The sequence below is a fragment of the Homo sapiens genome, chromosome 8 (genome assembly GCF_000001405.40).
Source record: "Homo sapiens chromosome 8, GRCh38.p14 Primary Assembly".
NCBI classification, from domain to species: domain Eukaryota; kingdom Metazoa; phylum Chordata; class Mammalia; order Primates; family Hominidae; genus Homo; species Homo sapiens.
In genome coordinates this window covers 68,430,912-68,451,999 of record NC_000008.11, presented here as the reverse complement: position 1 = coordinate 68,451,999, position 21,088 = coordinate 68,430,912, and the positions used below count along the sequence as shown (strand labels likewise).

Genomic DNA, 21,088 nt, shown 5'->3' with positions numbered 1-21,088 from the left:
GTAAATAAGTCAGAGACAAAAGGTCATACATTGTGATTTCACTCGTATGATATACAGGAATACCTTGCTTTACTGTATTTCACTTTATAATGCTTTGCAGATAATTTTTTTGTTGTTTTTTTTACAAAGTAAACATTCGTGGGGACCCTGCATTGAACAAGTCTATCAGCTTAATTTTTCCAACAGCATGTGCTCGTTTTGTGCCTCTGTGTAATATTTTGGTAAATCTCACAATATTTTAAATTTTTTCCATTATTATTATATCTGTGATGGTGACCAGTGATCAGTGATCTTTGATATTACTATTGTAATTGTTTTCAGGTGCCACAAACCACACCCATGTAAGATGGTGAACTTAATCAATAAATGTGTGTGTTCTCTCTACTCCACTGACTAGCCATTCCCTCACCTCTCTCCTTCACCTTGGGCTTCCCTATTCCCTGAAACACAACAATTTTGAAATTAGGCCAATCTAAAACCGTACAATGGCCTCTAAGTGTTCAAGTGAAAGGAAGAGTTGCAGGTCTCTGCAAAAGATAGAAATGATTAAGCTTAGTGAGGAAAGCATGTTGAAAGACATGGTAGGCTGAAAGCTAGGCCTCTGGTGCCGAACATTTAGCCAAGTAGCGAATGCAAATGAAAAGTTCTTGAAGAAAATTATAAGTGCTATTCCAGTAAACACACGAATGATAAGAAAGTGAAAGAAGCTTATTGCTGATATGGAGAAAGTCTGAGTGGTCTGGATAGAAGATCAAATCAGCCACAACATTCCATTAAGCCAAGGTCTAATCCAAAGCAAGGTCCTAACTCTCCTCAATTCCACGAAAGCTGAGGAATCTGCAGAAGAAAATTTGAAAGCTAGCAGATGTTGGTTCATGTGGTTTAAGGAAATAAGCCATCTCCATAACACAAACGTGTAAGATGAAGTAGCAAGTGCTGATGGAAAAGCCACACCAATCGAGAAGATCTAGCTAAGATAGTTGATGAAGGTGGCTACACTAAAAAACAGATTGTCAATGTAGACAAAACAGTCTCATGTTGGAACAAGATGCCATTTAGGACTTTCATAGCTAGAGAGAAGTCAATGCCTGGCTTCAAGTTTCAAAGGATAGGCTGACTCTCTTATCAGGGGCTAATGCAGCTGGTGACTTTAAGTTGAAGTCAATGCTTATTCACCATTCCAAAAATCCTGGGGACCTTAAGAATTATGCTATATCTACTCTGTCTGTGCTCTACAGATAAAACAACAAAGCCTGGATGACAGCACATCCGTTTCCAGCATGGTTTACTGATCATTTTAAGCCCGATCTTGAGACCTACTGCTAAGAAGAAAAGCTTCCTTTCAAAATGTTACTGCTCATTGAAAATGCACCCAGTCACTCCAGAGTGCTGATGGCAATGTACAAGGAGATTAATATTTTCGTGTCTGTTAACACAATATCTATTCTGCAGTCCATGAATCAAGAAGTTATCTGGACTTTCAAGTCTTATTACCTAAGAAATATATTTTATACAGGTATATCTGCCATAGATATTGATTCCTCTGACGGATCTGGGGGCAAATAACTTGAAAAACTTCATTAAAAAGATTTACCATTCTAGATGCCATTAAGAACATTTGTGATTCATGGGAGGAGATCAAAATATTTATATTAACAGGAGTTTGGAAGAAGTTAATGTCAACCCTCATGGATGACTTTGAAGTGTCCAAGACTTCAGTGAAGGAAGTAACTGAATATATGGTGGAAATAGCAAGAGAACTAGAAATAGAAGTGGCATCTGAAGATGTGACTGAATTGCCACAATCTCATGATAGACATTGAATGGATGAGGAGATGCTTCTTATGGATGAGTGGAAAAAAAGTGGTTTCTTCAAATAGAATCTACTCTAGGTGAAGATGTTGTGAATATTGTTAAAATGTTACATCAGCTTAGTTGATAAAGCAGTGACTTAAAATACTGCATCAACTTAAAATATTGCATCAACTTAGTTGATAAAGCAGTGACAGGGTTTAAGAGGATTGACTCCAATTCTGAAAGAAGTTCTACTCTGTGTACAATGCTACCAAATAGCATCACATATTATGAATAACTTTTTCATGAAAAGAAGAGTCTATTGGCTCCATGAGTCCATTGGCAAACTTCATTGTTGTCTCATTTTAGGAAATTGCTAAAGATACCTCAACCTTCAGTAGCCAACACCCTGATCTGTCCACAGCCATCAATGTCAAGGCAAGGGTCTTCACCAGCAAAATGATTATGACTCATTGAAAGCTCAGATGATTGTTCGAATCTTTGGCAATAAAGTATTTTATTTAAAATATGTACATTGTTTTCTTATACATAATGTTGTTTCACACTAGACTACAGTAGAGTAGAATATAAATATAACTTTTTTATGTGCTGGGAAACAAAAAAAATTGTGCGACTGATATTGTGATATTCACTTTATTGCAGTGGCCTGGAACTGAACCCACAATATCTCCAAGTTATGCCAGTATCCAGAATAGATACATTCATAGAGACAAAAAGCAGGTTGCCAGGGGCTGGTAGGAGGTGGGAACGTTGAGTCACTACTTACTGGGTACATGATTTCCTTTTGGGATGATGAAAATGTTTTCAAACTAGATAGGGGCTAGGTAGCATAATATTGTGAATGTACTGAATGCCACTGAATTGTACATTTTAGGATGGTTAATCTTATGTTAATTTTATGTAAAAAAAAGTCTTGGCGTGATTTGTTATAAACCATAGTAACTGGAACATCTCTAAAAAGTTTTTGCCTCTCTTCAGGTATGATTTAAGGTAAGGATCAAAGTTGTGTTTGTTTGTTTGTTTGTTTTTCCATGTGACTAACTTTGTTGAGCATAGTGTTTATAAATATTAATTAAGTCAATGCAGTTGATAGTCTTGTTCAAATTGTCTATATTCTTACTAAATTTTTTCAGTCAATTTATTCTGTTTATATCTTCCTTTAGTTCTATAAATTTTTGTGTCATGTATTGAGAAACTTCTGTTATTGGGTGCATAACGCTTTAGTATTATGATGTCTTCTTAATTAAATAACCTTTTATGATTATGATATGGTCTCTTTATCTCTGGTAATATCCTTTATCTTAAATTTTTATTTGGTTTGATATTACTTTAGCCATATAGGCTTCTTTTTGTTGGAGTTTCAAACTGTTTGTATCTGCATGTTTTAAGTATGTTTCTTATATTTTAAAAAATCTATACTCTTTATTCAGTCTGACAATATTTGCTTTAATTGGAATGTTTAGTACATTTATATTTACTATAATTGTGGGCACGTCTGTACTTCAACTTACAATATTGGTGTCCAATTTCTATTTTTCCAATCTGTTCTTTGTTTCCCTGTTACTTTTCTCCTGCCTTTGTTTTGTGAGGATGAATACTTTTTTCACATCCTATTCTAATGTGTCTACTAATTTTTAATTTGAGCATTTTGTGCTAGTTCTTAGTGATGCTTTAGAGATGAAAAATGCATCTTTAACTCATCACAATCTACGTACAGAGATATTTTACTACTTCAGAAATAATTTGTTTTAACAAGTATTTCCAAAGAATAACCCTAAATCTGTTGTATTCTTATTGTCATATATATTAATTCTACATATGCTATTTTTTAAAAAAAAGTATGCTATTTTATTATTATTTTTGCTTTAAAAAGCTTGGTAACAGTCTAGTGAAACTAGAGGTTGGGAGTAGGTTACCTGAGTAAAAAGGAATATATTCAGACTCCAGACCACCAGCAGCACCCTGTGGCTACATAGCATCCTACAAAGAACACAGGACCTGCACAATGAGTGGACCTTTAGGCATTCTCCCTGTAATGATGAAGTGGTCAAATTCAGAACTGATTCTGTAATTTACTAATCTCCTAAGGTTTTGAACTTATCATTGGAAGAAAGCAAGAATAAAAAGAGAGAGAGGTAGGGATCCATGATGAAAAGGGATACTGAGACTTTATTCATTTTTTATTTCTTCCTTTATTCATTTTTATCATTTAGCATTTATTAATTGAAACAGGCACTGTGCTGGATATTACTGGCTATACTGTTGTAAAAAAGACATGCAAATTTTAAACTTGTATATTTTTTAAAATGTTGGGACCTAATTCTATATACCAAACTGATGAAGCAGGACAATTTGGTTACAATCACAATTTCTGAAGAACATTTTAAGTTGTTAACACTTCATATAATTCTCACAAGAACTTGGTGTGGTTAATGCAATACTTTTTATGAGTACCACTATGTAAATGAAGCTGCTCACAAAGTTAAATTTAGTTGCTTTCACAAATGACCCAGATGCAGATTCCAGTTAGCACATAGTGGTTTTTCAAACATTTTCAAACAAAGATAAATATTTTCTGCCTACTCCTTTCTCTGTTGAAACTAAAATCAAACATCTCACCCTGTAACAAGCACAAGGAATTGATGTATAAGAAGAACAGCTTGCAAGTTCTCTTTTCTTCCAAGAATAGCTGTGATTTGCTAGAGGCTCCTGAGATTTTTGACATGTTTATACATATGTGGGGATAGCAGAGCACTGGAGAATCCCAGTAGCTACCAAAGCAGTAGGCCATTGAGAGAGAAGGGATACTTAGGTGGTATAGCTTGGATATTTGTCCTCTCCAAATCACATGGTAAATTTGATCACCAATATCGGAGGTGGGGCCTGGTGGAAGGTATTTGGGTTATGGGGGTCAATCCCTCATGAGTGGCTTGGTGCTGTCCTCATGGTAAGGAGTGACTTCTCACTCTGTTGGTTCTTACAAGATCTGACTGTTAAAAAGAGCCTGGCACCTCCCTCTGCTATCTCTTTCTCCTTCCTCTCGCCATATGATGCGTGCACCCCTTCACCTTCTGCCATGAGTGGAAGCTTCCTGCGGCTCTCACAAGAAGCAGATGCTAGTGTCATGCTTCTTGTACAGTCTGCAGAACCGTAAGCCAAATAAACCTTTTTTCTTTATAAAATACCCAACCTCAGTCATTCCTTTGTAGTAACATAAAAACAAAGATATTACAGTAGTAGTGAAGAGAATATAGGGACTTCCATCACAAATTAATGAGTAGGACTTCAGGAAAATCCCAGATGAAATATTTTTTAAGAAATTTTATGAAATGTTTTGAATAGAAATCTTCTTTGCTTCTATTCTAAGAGATTTAATTTGCTTTTACATACTTCATTAAATATAGGTAGCTACTGCTTTCAATATGATGTAATGCTACAATTGGCTATGAGAAACAAGAGACCCGCTCCATGCAGTTTATATTCTTCAAGGAATATTATACTCAAAAGGGTCCAAGTGAATTACACATGTTTGAGAATATAAGCAAGCAAATACATACGTATGAATGAAGATCAATGTAAATGCGGAGTAAAAGTGAAATTCACTAAGATTAAAGGCCAGAAATATCAGATGAAAAGTTGGGCTTCAATTAATACCTTTTCTTCATTTTCTTAACAACATAAACTTACATGCTTTGAATAGCATTTGAATAAGAGACTTCCTTACATGATTTGGAGTCCGGTGATGGTGGAGAAATATTAGACACAGCAAGGTCACTTTTTGATTTTTTAGGCTTCTTTGCATTTAATTGCCAAGGTTTATCATAGCTTCTGAAATCCCTTCTTGTTCCTTTGGATTCTGTTAAAACAAAATATATATAAAATGGCAACAAAGTGATTTCAAGATTGAGCAAAAACCAAGTCCACGAAGTCATTAAATATACTTGACAAAACATATAGGTCACCTCATATCAAAAATAATGTACCCACGCAAAGGTATTACTTGTTTAATTTCATCTGTAAATTAGACTTTTAAATCTGATATGAATCAGTTTATATATGCATATGATTAAGATTATATCATATAAAACTATGAAATTGGCTGGGCGCAGTGGTTCATGCCTGTAATCCCAGCACTTTGGGAGGCCAAGGTGGATCACCTGAGGTCAGGAGTTCGAGACCAACCTGACCAGTATGGTGAAACCCGTCGTCTCCACTAAAAACACAAAAATTAGCCGGGCATGATGGCGGGCGTCTGTAATTACAGCTACTCAGGAGGCTGAGACAGGAGAATTACTTGAACCCGGAAGGCAGAAGTTGCAGTGAGCCGAGACTGTGCCACTGCACTCCAGCCTGAGTGATAGAGACTCTGTCAAAAAGAAAAAACAGGAAATTAATTTGAAATGTTTTTCAGGCGGGGGTTCCGATCAATTAAAATAACATTCTATGAATGTCATGGAATAAAGCATGGTATTCTGTTGTAAATAAAAATAAACATTTCAGTAAATTTCACTCACTTGATGCCACCTTATCTATCATGACAAGTAAAATCATTGATATTCACCCAAATCAATTTATCTTCTCTTGCAAGAAAGATAAATTTAAATCAACCAACATTGTTACTTTGAAATTCCCCTTAGAAGGTGGTCACTGTCTTGCCCATTCCACAATTAAAGGGTGTTTCAAGAGTTCATCCCTCTTGACTTCTTTTACAAGAATTTCATGTTTTTATACAGAACAATCTTTTTCCTCATCCCCATATCACCTGATAACTCTTTCTTCAACTCATTTATTCCTTCTTCATCTTCCATTCCTCTAATCTATGTGGCATTCTGTAGGGTTTCTTTATGCCTTCTTGTCTTAATTTACAAATTTAAAAACCACCCTAGCTTTATGGATGCCTCATAAGTCTTTTCTCTGGCTACTCACTTATAAATAACTAACATACACCATTACACATTAATGGATTCCTCAAACTTTCATGTTAAGGTTGTACTTAACTAGCTGTTACCCAATTTGTCCACCTCCAAAATCCCATTAAATACCAAAAAGGCATGAAAATTCTAAAGCATTAGGAACATAAATATTTGTCCACGGTCTGCTAGAACCCAGGAAGTATTTCCATAGATAAGGTTAAGACAGGATATAGGCCATTCAAAAAGAGAATGGAAGATTTCTAGGTGTCCACCTCAACCTTGGAGTCATCTCCTTATGTTGTTTTACAGTCTTTCAGAATTTGTCTTTCTATATCCATTCTTGGACTATAAATTCTTCTAATGCAACATAGGTAATGGGAGAAAAAAACCTTGGTCATAAAATATAGCATCTCTTTATATAAAGGAATATTAAAAGGAGCCAGAGAGGAATGAAATGAATGTTGTGACTTTCTTTATTCTCTGCTTCTAGCAAGAAAAAATCCATATTAATTCAAATAATTTAGCAATGATATTTTTATCCAGTTCATTGAAAAGAGATAAGAGATAGTAAGTCATGCATCAATTTTGCAGAAACTTAAAGGATTCAACTAATATTGAAAATTTTAATAGTAAACATGATTTCACCTCTCTAAAATTTTGAAAAGAATCCAAATAGTTCCAAGCTATATGGAGAGAGAACAAAGAAGAGTCCACCTACACTATTTGTTGATAAATCTAGAACTAGATAGAACATTCCTCATTGAAGTTTGAATAAAAAGAGAAAATATTATTTTAAGAATCATTTAATAAAAAACAAGAATACAGTATTCACAATGGAGAGGTAATCATAGTTTTAAAAAATATTTATAATGGAAAGCTATTAAATGTTGGAATGTGACTGTGACTATTTTGTCTTCTCAACAAAAATAAAAGAAAGTGGACTCAATGAAGCAAAAAGAAATTAGAGAGGAGATAGGCTAACCAACCTATGAATAAAAATATAACTGTGTACAGAAATAATAAAAAGAAGATGAGATAAAGAAGTAGCAACAGGAAACTAAAATGCAATACCAATATTTAAATTTGCATTCAAAGCCAGAAAGAGAAAACTGATAGTGTAGAAAATTGTATCAGTGACACAGAGAAAACACTTTGCTTGATACACCTCTCTAAAAGAGAGTCAACAAAGAAAAGCAAACACAATGCCAAATGAAATGAGAAAAACAGAGAACAGTAAATAAGACTCAACTTACACATAATAGATTTTCCCGAAAAATCATAGTTGACATTCCAGTAAAATTTGGAATATCAGAAGTAAAAAAAAATTCATAAGTATTCAAGAAAAATAATTTGTCTTTTATTCCCACAAAGGAATAAAAATAAGGCTGTTTTCAAGATTCTCCTCCACAATATTAAATGATAGACTTTTAAGGAGAAAATGTTGTGTCCCATGTTGCTAAATATATTTAAAGGCAACAAGAGGATATCTTCAGATATTTCTGAAAAGTATGATACCCATGTACTTTGAATATTGAGACGTTTTCTGGCTAATTAAAAGATGCACCAGGCTGGGTGTGGAGGCTCATGCCTGTAATCCCAGCACTTTGGGAGGCCGAGGTGGGCAGATCACGAGGTCAAGAGATCGAGACCATCCTGACCAACATGGTGAAACCCCATCTCTACTAAAAATACAAAAAAAAAAAAAGTTAGCTCGGCATGGTGGCTGGCGTGTGCCTGTAGTCCCAGCTACTTGGGTGGCTGAGGCAGGAGAATTGCTTGAACCCAGGAGGCAGAGGTTGCAGTGAGCCGAGATCATGCCACTGCACTCCAGCCTGGTGACAGAGCGAGACTCCATCTCAAAAACAAAAACAAAGAAAAGATTCACCAAAATCAAGAATTCAAAATTACAGTCAGGGTTTAAATTGGCATTATTTACCATCATTCAATTATAACCCCTTCAGTTTCATTAGTATCCAAAAATTCATCTATGCTTTTCTCTTCCTTCCTGCCATACGTTCCCTCTAAAATTTTTCCTCTTCCTCTGGGCCATTTCCTTCCACATAAACACTCTTCCATCCTCAAATATCCCGTTTCATGTCTTAGCACAGCCCCCATTCTTCCCACAATAGCGTTCCCTCCTCTGCAGCTTCCTGGGATGGTGGATGCTCTTGCCCCATGTCCCATGTTCCACCAACCACAGGCTGTGGAAGCAGGGCTGGATCTCCTGGTTCAGTGTTGCTTCTATGATAGAAGCCTCAACAGTAAAGTAAAAGTGTCTGTTCTCTTATGGGAAATGTCACTTAGCTATACTGCTCATTTCTCTTCATTATCACTCATTATCACCATCTTTTTGCCTCTGATTAATCTCACAGCCTTACTTCAGACAGTGGCATAGTCTTTTCCTGTCTCTTGTCCTTTCAACAACTTGAAAGAAACTATAGTGACCTCTTTATTCTTAGACAAACCATGCATTAAGCTTCATACTTCCTTGCCCTGCTCAACTCTGAAGAGCTTCGTTTCCCTGATATTGCTGCTACCTGCAAACTAAAGCTGCCCACAGGATTTTCTCATAATATGGAATCATTCCACATCAAACATCTTGATCTCAAATATCACAATCTCTCAGCACAGCTTGTATCCTTCTATATTGCTCATATTTTCACTATATTGATCTCCTGAAAGTTTTGATTGGCTTTCTCTGTCTGAACCTCTCCATCCACTTGCTCTCTGCTTCTCAGACAGCTTGATCACCTGCAGTTTGCTCACAAATACCCTCAACTCCTTTGGCAAAACTGTTCTCCCACCCTTGAGGTAGTAACACAACCACAATTCTCAAAGTCCCTCAAACTGTTTTCTCTCTTCCTTCCCAGAACTTCTGGGAACTGCTAGAGTAAATTAACAATCTTATTCATAGTTTCCATGATTAATTAATAATAATTAATTCATGTCCTTGACTTCTGTTAGGCCCCAGAACTGCGTGACAATCTTTTCTTAAATTTTCCTTTGCCAACTCTTTTTTCCTTTCTCTTGGTGACTTTCCATAATTGGTGCCCTTACTTCAATCTTCCCTATCTGACCCCCCAACCACTTGTCTTGGCAAATATCCTCACCACATAATAAATAGACAAAATTTAGGGCACCTGAAGTCATCTCACACTTGCCTTCTCCCAGTCCATCCTACACTCTAACTATAAATTTTACCCACATCTTCCTTTATTCTTTCACTCTTATTATTATCTGTATGATATTGAAGGTAACATCTGGGACTCCTGCTTTGACCCATCCCCAAAGCTTTAGACTCACATCCAATAGCCTGCTGTAATTATCTACTAAAGTGTGCCACAAGAAATTAAAATCATCAATAGGTACTAAGAGAACTGATAGAATAACATGGTAGTTCTTAAACATGATCTCTTTCCCATGGTGTTTCCTCCCACATTATCCCTACTCCTCAAATGCAGACAGGACTTTTAACTTGCTTTGAAACAGTAGAATATAGCAAAGGTGATGAGGTGTCAGTGTTATGATTACATTCTAGTATATAAGATCCATCTTAGTAGATTGGAATGAGAGAAATGCCCTTGTTGACTTTAAAGAAGTGAGTTGCCAGCAGGGCGTGGTGATTCACAACTGTAATCCCAGCACTTTGGGAGGCTGAAGCAGGAGGATCACTTGAGCTCAGGAGTTCACGGTTATAGTGAACTATGATCATGCCACTGCACTGAAGCCTGGACAATAGAGCTAGACCCCAACTCCATTTTAAAGAAGAAGAAAGAAGGAAGAAGGAAGATGAAGAAGATGGAGGAGGAGGAGGAGAATAAGAAGAGGAAAAAGAACAGGAGGAAGAATTAGTAAACTGCTGCTATGTGAGAGACATGTGGCAGGAACTCTGGGTTGCACCTAGGAGATGAGAGTAGCTCCTGGCTGAAAGTCAGTCAGAAAATAGGGACCTCAGCCATATAGCTGCAGAAAATTAGTTCTGCCAACAACCCAAATGAGCTTGGAAGCAGATTCTTTCCTAGTCCAGCCTCCAGATGAGAATGTAACCCAGCCAACACCTTGATTTGTAGCCTTGTGAGACTGGGCAGAAGACTCAGCTAAACCGTGCACAGACTTCTGACACATAAACACTGAGGTACTTAATGTGTGCGATTTAAAATGAAGAGTTGGCAGGGCATGGTGGCTCATGCCTGTAATCCCAGCACTTTGGGAGGCCAAGGAGGGCGGATCACGAGGTCAGGAGATCGAGACCATCCTGGCTAACACAGTGAAACCCCGTCTCTACTAAAAATACAAAAAACTAGCTGGGTATGGTGGCGGGTGCCTGTAGTTCCAGCTACTCGGGAGGCTGAAGCAGGAGAATGGCGTGAACCCAGGAAGCGGAGCTTGCAGTGAGCAGAGATCAGGCCACTGCACTCCAGCCTGGGTGACAGAGCAAGACTCCATCTCAAAAAAAAAAAAATGCAGAGTTTAATATGTTCCTTTCTCTCCAGATACTGATTTATAAAATATGGACTCACATGAGCTACAGTAAATTCACAGATGCTCAACTGATCTGCGTTTATGTGGTGGGTACCATCTTAGTACCTACAAACCAAAGCCCCTGCCTACCTACCCATTCTACTTAGAATCTAAACCCAAGAAAGTTAAGGCCAAGAAAAAGTAAGACAAGTAAGAGTTTCTTCTTTTTGTGCCAAAAGTTCATATTCTAACTTCCTATATGACGCAAATAACTTTTGTGTGGATAAATGACATCATAGATGTCTACATTCTTCAGAGGACACCCTACTCTCTACACACTTTAGTGTAGCTTTGGGACCTGGTATCAAGAAGGCATTCATATGAGATACAGCCAAAGAAGACCAAAATCCTTTCATGGGATCCCATAAAGCATGAAGAGGTGGAGAGAAGTGATAATGCCATCCAAGGAAAGTCATTTGGAGTACAGTTGGATTTCTACGGGAATCAGACAAGAAGTTAGTTACCCAAGCAATGGGCATGAGGGGATTTGGATTTGAAAGTAAATGTCAAACTAACAGACCAATGTGTAAACACATTTTATGAGCAAAGATTGAGTTCAAGTCTACTCAATTCTTTCACTAGTGTTTACTGGGGAGAGGAGGCTATGATACACTCGAAAAACTAGTTCCCTGATGTAAAGAGTCAGTGAATCTTCCTAAGGTTTACTACACAGGATAAAATTGGGGCATGGAGAAATAAAGAACAATCATCAGTTTGGGCAACAAGAAAAGTAATCCTGTAGAACTCTACTATTGTCTTTCTATATAGATAAGCTATAAGCATTTAATTCAAATTATTCATTAAAAAATAAGTTTAGGATAACTACTCTGAATTTATACAGGATAAAATCTTTTGATGCAAATCTGAATCTTATCTGTATTAAAATGCAAAATGCTGATTCTTGTATTTTGAGACATAATACATTACGATATATTCAAATTTAATAATTTATGACAAATTTTAGCATCTAGGTAAGGTCAGAGATGAACACATGAAACCTTTGGTAACTATCTATCTAGATTTATCTTATTAGTATCAAAAAGAGTTTTGAAATTTTGACATTAAATGAATCCCAAATTAACTGCATAGACATTCTTCATTTACCTGATTTTTCACTTTCTGCCCATAGAGCTGCAGATCCAGACAAAGTTCTTTGAAGTTGTCCACGGTTCCCTTGTTTAGACTGAAGATGGTCAATGAGAAATGGGATTGGCTGGTCAGGTGTCTCAGTTATTAACTTGGTCATTAATTCCTGAAGGCAGAATAGAGCACACAATTATAATTAATAATAACAGCAACAGTAATAGCAAGCACTTACTTAGCATGTAATATTGTCAGGTACTGGTCTAACTGCTTTATATACAGCAACTAACTCCATGCTTATAACAATCTTTTCAGACGGCTACAAGTTACTGCCCTCATTCTGAGGAAACAATAACAGAGAAGTAAATTGTCTATATTACACAGCTAATATGTGGCAAAACCAAGATTTATTTAGTTTTTATTTTGTATTATACTTAGCCAACAACATATTAAAAGTTTAATCTAAATTCCTTTAAAATTATAGCTTAAGAATTTTAAACTTCAGTTTGCTATTTTGAGAGATATCATTATAAACTAAACTTTTGCTAAACTTCACCATCTACCTTATATCAATATCATTTTTTTCTTCTTAATGTTTTAAAAATAACAAAAATGAAGAAAATTTTATTGGAATTAAAGGAACAAGTAATAAGTCACAGACTTACAGAAACCAAAAACTGTCTTAAAGTAGTCTCCAAGAAATACCGAATTCTGTTTTTGTAAAAATCCCTGTTACGTGTCCTTCCTTCTTCCTTCCTTCTGCTCTTTTTTGAGTTGAGCAATGTGAGTTCTCTATGTGCAAAGCAGGCTGTTCCATTTTGGACAGCTCTAATGATACTTTAAGTTGGGCTGAAATCTGCCCAAGGGTAATATCTACATATTTTTTTTTCCAGTCAGGAACAGCAAAGAGCAATCTCCAATATGTAGTCCATTAGAATCCCTAGATTTTTCTAATATGAACAGCTGTCAAGCCACGTGGATATCATTTTGTGCTGTGTAATTGGGTTTGTGAACTTATGTGCACCATTTATATTCATATCAGTCACATTTCATCTTGTTGGTTTTAGCCTAGAATTCTAGTCTGTTCATTGCTGTTTTAAGCTAGGATTCTGTGAGAGGCAGTGTTCTAGTGCTCAAAAAATCAGATATTAAGAGAGCTAACAAAAGTGTTACTGGAAATTCCCCAGTGCATCTTTTTTTGTTGGTGGTGGTCTGTTTCCTTTGCCTTGAATGATGTTCTCTCATGGTCAGATGGCTGGTGTGTCATCCTTCGGTCTCCAATGATACTTCTACAAGAGGTTACCCTAACCAATCTTCAGAAGTCTTTATTATTTTATCATTTTATCTTCCTCACAGTATTTAGCACTCTCTAGAATCATTTTGTTTAACATTTGCTCACCAGTTTGTTATCTCTCTCCTCCCCCACCCCTACTGTAGCACTTGGAAAAAGACTTTCTTAGTTTGATATCAGTTTTCTCTGTAGGGCCTAGAACTCTGCCTAGCTCATAGCTGGTGCTGAATCAATACCTATTGAATGAATCAATGATTCGATCAACCAATCAATGTTTGCTTTATTGACTACAGGTAGATATTAGTAACTAGAATCCCTTATTGTACCAATAAACAACAATTAAACCTTTTATAGCCCAGCAAAATATAGTGCTCAGACATGCTATATAAGAAACTGCTGTCCAGATTATCTAAGGGATATTTATTTACATTTTTAAGTGTAGGAAAACATGGCTTTACCTGGGCAGAGGATAAATGGATTTTGCAGATAACAAGATCCCAAGTTGATCATAGAGTCATGGATTAAATATTTCTGCATATTTAAAAAATGCGTTGATGGAACACAGAGTTAGAAGTAAAAAGATCAAAGGATTTTTACCATAAATACATTATGATGCAAGATATTTATTAGACAAGTGTAATACTTTTTATATTCTGAAAAACAAGTAAGCAAACAATCAGTTGTCACAGGTATTATTCATTTGTGCTATTTAATATTTCAATTATAATAATAAATTAAAAAAGGCCATCTGCTACTGTTGTGAAGGTAATTGTAAAGTAATGTAGAGTTCAGTTAAATCATAAGTATACATCTGTGGAATGCAATCTAAAACATTTTGGATTTTACCTCTATTATGTATTATGCTTTATTTGAACTAATTTTACATTATAAAGGGTTCCAGAAAATAAAAAGAAAAATAAATAGAAGGTACAACTGGATTGCTATTGTCACAGAATGTCTGGACACTCAGGTAAAGCAAAATTAAGTCAGGTAATGGAACTTTAAAGCCACAGCCATTTCTATCCTGACACCTCTGAAAATCTCATGGTTTTGTTTTGTTTTTGAATTTACCTTTCAGAGTAGATGGAAAGTTTCTAGATTTCTTTTTTAATAAACTGAAGTATTCCTACATTTTTCTTTAGAAGATGGATTATTTAGTCATAATAAACCAAGTAATTACTATTAAGTTTTAAAAATAGTATCAGTCTATTAACTATTTTGGATAAATTTGTATTGTATTAATGAATATATGAGATTAAAGACACAGGACAAGTTCAATCGTGAGCGAAATGATCATAGTCGATGTTTGCAATAGGGCATGTTGGGTGTCTTGGTTGGACAAGAGTCTAGTTTTAAATGATTGTATTTGCAAGAGTAATTACCCTGCTTCTCACTTAATCCATGTATCTGCTGGACTTGAATGATTCTGAGGACTTGAACTTGACAGAAACCCCTTTCCCAGACATGAAAATTTAAATCCTTAGATTTGCCAATCATGGCAATAAAAAGATTGATTTCTTTCCACCACTAGAAATTAGAGCCGCAGAGGTAGACCTGAGGGACTGATAGATTTGGAAAGGTGAGAATCAAGTTGCACAGCTAGTATGTTAATTTGGAGTAGAAATCAATTGCAGAAAGTTTTACAGGAATCATTCACCATAGGAAAAAAGTATTCTAGAACATCAAGTCAGTTTCAGGTACATAAGCTGAACACCAGTAGGAAACGGCACTTCCAGGGAGACAGAAGAGCCTCACCTTCAATTCTTACCATCAGTGCAAGGGTTGTGACATGAGATTCCCTGGGAGAAAAGGAATTTTTCAGGCTGTGGGTGTATATAAATTAATAGAACAACAAAGTGATAAGAGCACTCCTGCCCTGAAACAAAATGTTTGTGGACATTTTAGACTAAGTACTCAGGGATTGATAAAATGTAGGTGTTAATTTTAATACGATACTCTGTGCACTCACAGGCTAGTTAAACTGGGACATACAAGTCGCAAACAAAATATATTAGCAGCTGTCACCAACAGGAGATTTAGTTCATACTTATATCAATAAAATTAATATAAACAACATGCAGTTGAAGATACAGGAAACTAGTGATTAGACACTCAGTCTTTGAAATCTGATAGCCACTATTTTTCTTTTCTTTTCTTTTTTTTGATAGGGAGTCTCACTCTGTCACCCAGGGTGAGGATAGAGTGCAGTGGCACAGTCTCAGCTCACTGCAACTTCTGCCTCCTGGGTTCAAGCAATTCTTCCACCTCAGCCTCCTGAGTACCTGGGACTACAGGTGTGCACCACCACACACGACTAATTTTTGTATTTTTTGGTAGAGATAGGGTTTTCCATGTTGGCCAGGCTGGTCTCAAACTTCTGACCTCAAGTTATCCACCTGCCTTGGCCTACCAAAGTGCTGTGATTATAGGCGTGAGCCACCATGCCCAGCCTAATAGCCACTATTTGAATCCTTCATCTCCTACTTTAACATTCATATTCCATCTATTAGATGTGAAAAACAATAGTAGCTACATCATACGGTTGCCATGGAGATTAAATAAGATAACGACTACAAAGCACTCATTAAGTGCTTGAGCTATATGTAGCCTTCTGTGATGGACTAACACCCTTTCTAAGGCTGGGAATGAATTCTCAGAATCTCCATATGATCTGAGTTAGAGTTTCCCAGTGAAAGAAATGTGTAGGAGATTCAGAAAGCAGAGTGAAGCACAAAAATACTAATCTTCGGAGTTGAATGCAGGCAGATGTGAGAACAGATGAGAGATTCACAGCAGCTTCCTAGCAAGCTTGTGGAAACCTCCACTGCTGACTGAGATAGCTATGAGGGTTCCACAAAGACACCGAAGAATTGCCGCAGCTTCCAGGCAAGCATCTGAGAACCACATGCTTCCCTGCTGCAGGCTGGTATATTCAGGGTCAGCCCCTCTGACTTTTGGTGATACCCCCTCAAACTTCAGCAGCATTTCCATGTCCTCTGTGGCCCAACCTTCTAACTCTCTATCATAAACCCATTTTTAATAAACCCTATTTAGCACAGCTACATAGAGTGGTTTCCATTTTCCTGACTTAACTCTTAGTGATATACTCCCAAAAAGTCTTAGCCAATATTTTTATTTTTACTATTGTTTTTCTACATTTATATATCATATATTTATATATTTTTATTATATATTTATGTTTATTATTACTATGATTACAATATTTATCAATATACACTTGTAATATTATATATGAATAATACATATTTTATTGGGCTTATATTTTCTGATAATAAAATGAATCAATATTCTCTTTTTTTTTTTTTTGAGATGGAGTCTCGCTCTGTCACCCAGGCTGGAGTGCAATGGAGCTATCTCAGCTCACTGCAAACCTCTGCTTCCTGGGTTCAAGTGATTCTCCTGCCTCAGCCTCCTGAGTAGCTGGGATTACAGGCACATGCCACCATGCCCAGCTAATTATTTTTTGTATTTTTAGTAGAGATGGGGTTTCACCATGTTGGTCAGGCTGGTCTTGAACTCCTGACCTTGTGATCCGCCTACCTCGGCCTCCCAGAGTGCTGGGATTACAGGCATGAGCCACTGCGCCCAGCCTCAATGTTCTCTTAATATTGTTTTTTATCAACTAGAATCTTTAACTTCATGAGTATACTACATAGTGAGACAACTCCCTGCACTAATACCTGTTTCCTTTATTGTTAATTATAATTTTGTTGCTGGAACAAATACTTTTATTTTAAAATTATAAATGCATACAATTACAGCACTATTTACGATAGCAAAGACTCGGAACCAATGCAAATGCCCATCAGTGATAGACTAGATAAAGAAAATATGGCACATACCATGGAATACTATGCAGCCATAAAATAGTATGAGTTCATGTCCTTTGCAGTGACATGTACGAAGCTGGAAGTCATAATTGTCAGCAAACTAACACAGGAACAGAAAACCAAATACCACATGTTCTCACTCATAAGTGGGAGTTGAACAATGAGAACACATGGACACAGGGAGGGGAACACCACACACTGGGACCTCACATCACACACTGGGGGTAAGGGGAGGGAGAGCATTAGGACAAATACCTAATGTATGCTATGCGGGACTTAAAACCTACATGATGGGTTGATAGGTACAGCAAATCACCACGGCACATGAATACCTATGTAACAAACCTGCACGTTCTGTACATGTACCCCAGAACTTAAAGTAAAAGAAGAAAAAGGAAAGAAATGCATACAAAGACAAAATTCCTTTTTACAAATTTTGAAAAGAACTTAGAGAACATAAATCATTATGTAATTATTGAGTGAAAATGTATATTATGCAACATGTAAGGGCTACTGGAATTTAAGAGTCTAATAACCAGTAACAGATAACCTTGTAGTGCTATTTAGAAAATTAGCATGATTGAGCTGGAAAATGAATACTAACTAGTAACAATGATCGTCTCAAAATGCATTTTAATGTTAATTTTCATTAGATAAAAGCAAAGCCATAAGTAAGTTGGTAACTCATCATAGACTCACTTATTATTAAAACTGGAATGAGTCATTAAGCAACAGTAGAAATTATTAGTAAAAGATCCATTTCATTTGATAGAACATGTAAGATCCCTTGATTATAAAACAAAAGAGCACTTGGGCGCACAGAAACTTCGATTTGTACACAATATTCCTGGTGTTTACCCATTCGTGTACTGAGCCTCTAAGGTTTCAATGACTTCAGGTTAAAAACCCTGGCTCTGGGTACCACAGCACACACCCAGCATGGCACTCTGCCTAAAAATTTGTGACTTGGGACTAACTTACTTTTTGCTTCATTTCCCTAACAGGAAAGTAATGCTTGTATCCTTTTTAACCTCAGGGGAAAGTTATTAGGAAACAAAGTTAAAACCATTTCCAAATTCCCAGGAAGTTTTTACTACATGGCCTTTTTTGTTAAATCAATACATATGCAGGGCATTGTACTCTATTAATGATGGAGGTGGTACCAATCAGATATGTTTTTTATTCAGCACCCATAAATTATCTCAAATATTAATAGCATATGGCATGTTATCAGCTGTAGAATGTTATTTAGTTCACAACTAGCATTAAAATCTGATGACTGAATTTATTTACTCTAAATCTGCATCTGTTTCAATTTTCTGTTTTTATCAGGTCTCTATTAAAAATTTGCATTTGAGATCACGGCCTTCCAAACATTCACCCCCACCACCACTACCCAACAGTATTTCATAAATAAGCAGGTAATGAGCGTGGAATTGACAATGAATACATGAGAAATTATCCACTTGATGTTTGGTTGCCTCCAAAAATGTATTTTATTCTCAAATTGCCCCCATTTAAAATTGATGTCACCATTCCCAGTGAATGAAATTCTACTTGGTTTCCACCCGCACTCATAGCCCATGCATGCCTTTTCTCTCATTCTATTTTTTTTGAATGGCAGTAGAATGGTAAGCATGTTTTTCCTGCCTCATTACACCCCTAAGCTCTGTTACAAGTTTTGGCTTTGGTAAGAAACAGGTTCTAATGCAGTATCTAGGTTTCCATGCACAGTGAGAACAGGACAGACATCTCTCTGATCTCTTTCTGTCAGAGTCTTCCCTGACATTCAGAGATCTCAGACTGTCCCCTAGTGGTTCAACCTTCCTCCACCTCAGATCCACACCTGCCCTAAATCTACTTATCTTATTCCCAGTCAAAACTGTGATTTCAATGGAAGGCAGGAAAGCAATGTGAATAGTAATGATTTAAAATATCAGTCTTTTATTGAGCACTACTGGAGGCCAAGATAGGCAGATCACTTGAGTTCAGGAGTTCAACACCAGCCTGACCAACATGGTGAAACCCTGTCTACTAAAAATACAAAATTAGCTGGCCATGGTGGTGTGCATCTGTAACCCCAGCTATGTGGGAAGCTGAGGCAGGAAGATCACTTGAACCCAGGAAGCAAAGGTTGCAGTGAGCCAAGATCCTGCCTCTGCACTCCAGCCCGGGGCAACAGAGAGATACTCTGTTTCAAAAAATAAATAAAATAAAATATCAGTCATTTATTGAGTCTGATAGGCACAAGTATCAGGTATTTTACATAGATTTAATAATTCACTATACATTTAAGAATTGCATACAAGATGCATAATCCAGACAACATATATGCACTTTTACAACGGTGCTTGTTAAAAGTTGTTTCTGAACTCCTTGCTTATTCCAGATCACATCTGACCCTCACCAACAACCCACCAATGCACACAGTCATAGCCACACATCCACAGCTCTATAGGCCTCAGGAGTAAGATCTTTTGCATTCCTGATTTGAAAGACTCTTGGCTTTCTTAAACATGATTTAATGTAAAATTACGTTTATCATATCCATTTGTCATAAATTTTAAAAGCATAATTAGCCTTGTTGTATACTATGGAATAAAATCCAGAGATAAAGGTAGGAAAAATAAAAGAATAAATTGCTTGAATAATGAAGATTAGGAATGATGAAAATACCACAACTAAAAACTAAACATTCTAAATTGTAAAGCTGAATCATAGACACTGAATTCTCTCTACTTTCAATAATACAGGCAAGTAATAAATCTAACCAGCAGAACTATCCAATTATGACAAATGATGCAATATTTTGTCTGATGCCTACTAATACAGAGATGTCTTCTCAGGTTAATAATTGAACATTTAGTATGCAGTTTTAAACAGTCTTCATATAAAAGCACAAGCTTGTAGTTAAATTTCCAGGCAAACACCAAGGTTTCCAGTGAGAAATTAGCATATCCTACGGAAATACTTTCAGTTAAGGATTACACTCCTCAACTAATAGTCTATGGAAGCAACTGATTTAGTGTTAGGTAGGACTTCACACAGTCTTACTTGAAAATACCTCTGTAGGAGTACAATATAGGTGACAGTGGAAAGAGCAAAGCAGTTCAAAAAACTCAAATACATTAAATAAATTTGTGATGCAAGTAGCAGATGTATATAGAAGTTCCCATAAAAAAGAAAATGTCTTTCAGTTCAATAAAAATTACTTTATTTTAGCCTTTTATCATTTATAAAAAATGTGTACCTAAAATGAGGTGCTCAGAATGACAGAATAATGAGAAACTGGTGATGGATACACTGTACCATCAGAGCTGAACACTAGTACATACACAGACCTAAGTTTGATTCCATGCACCTTAAAAGAGAATTTGGGGTGACAATGTGGTTTAATAGGAAGGTACAGATTTTGGTGTTTGACCTGGATTTATAGCCTGGCTCTATCCCTTACTGTCCATATGAGTTTAAGCTACTCATTTAGTTCTCTGAGCCTCCATTTTATCATCCCTAAAGTTGGTAGGACAATATCTCCCTTATCAGTTTGTGGTAAGGAGTAGAAAAACTGCATAAAACATATCATGTGGGGTATATGAACTAGATTTCATAGCAAT

At 36.4% G+C, this 21,088-nt stretch overlaps 1 protein-coding gene across 13 annotated transcripts in view; it reads right to left on the bottom strand.

Annotated features, from left to right (window-relative positions):
• Positions 1–21,088, bottom strand: part of C8orf34 (chromosome 8 open reading frame 34) — a 488,651-nt gene that overhangs the window by 367,024 nt on the left and 100,539 nt on the right. For all 13 annotated transcript variants that reach the window (NR_146186.1, NR_146187.1, XM_047421328.1 and 10 more), the window contains exons 2-3: positions 12,354–12,501; positions 5,540–5,671 (exon numbers count right to left, since the gene is read on the bottom strand). Coding sequence is in view for 11 of the 13 variants with exons in the window: in XM_047421328.1 (XP_047277284.1) it covers positions 5,540–5,671; positions 12,354–12,501 (280 nt within the window). In the remaining 2 variants the exon portion in view is untranslated. The remainder of the gene's footprint in view (positions 1–5,539; positions 5,672–12,353; positions 12,502–21,088) is intronic.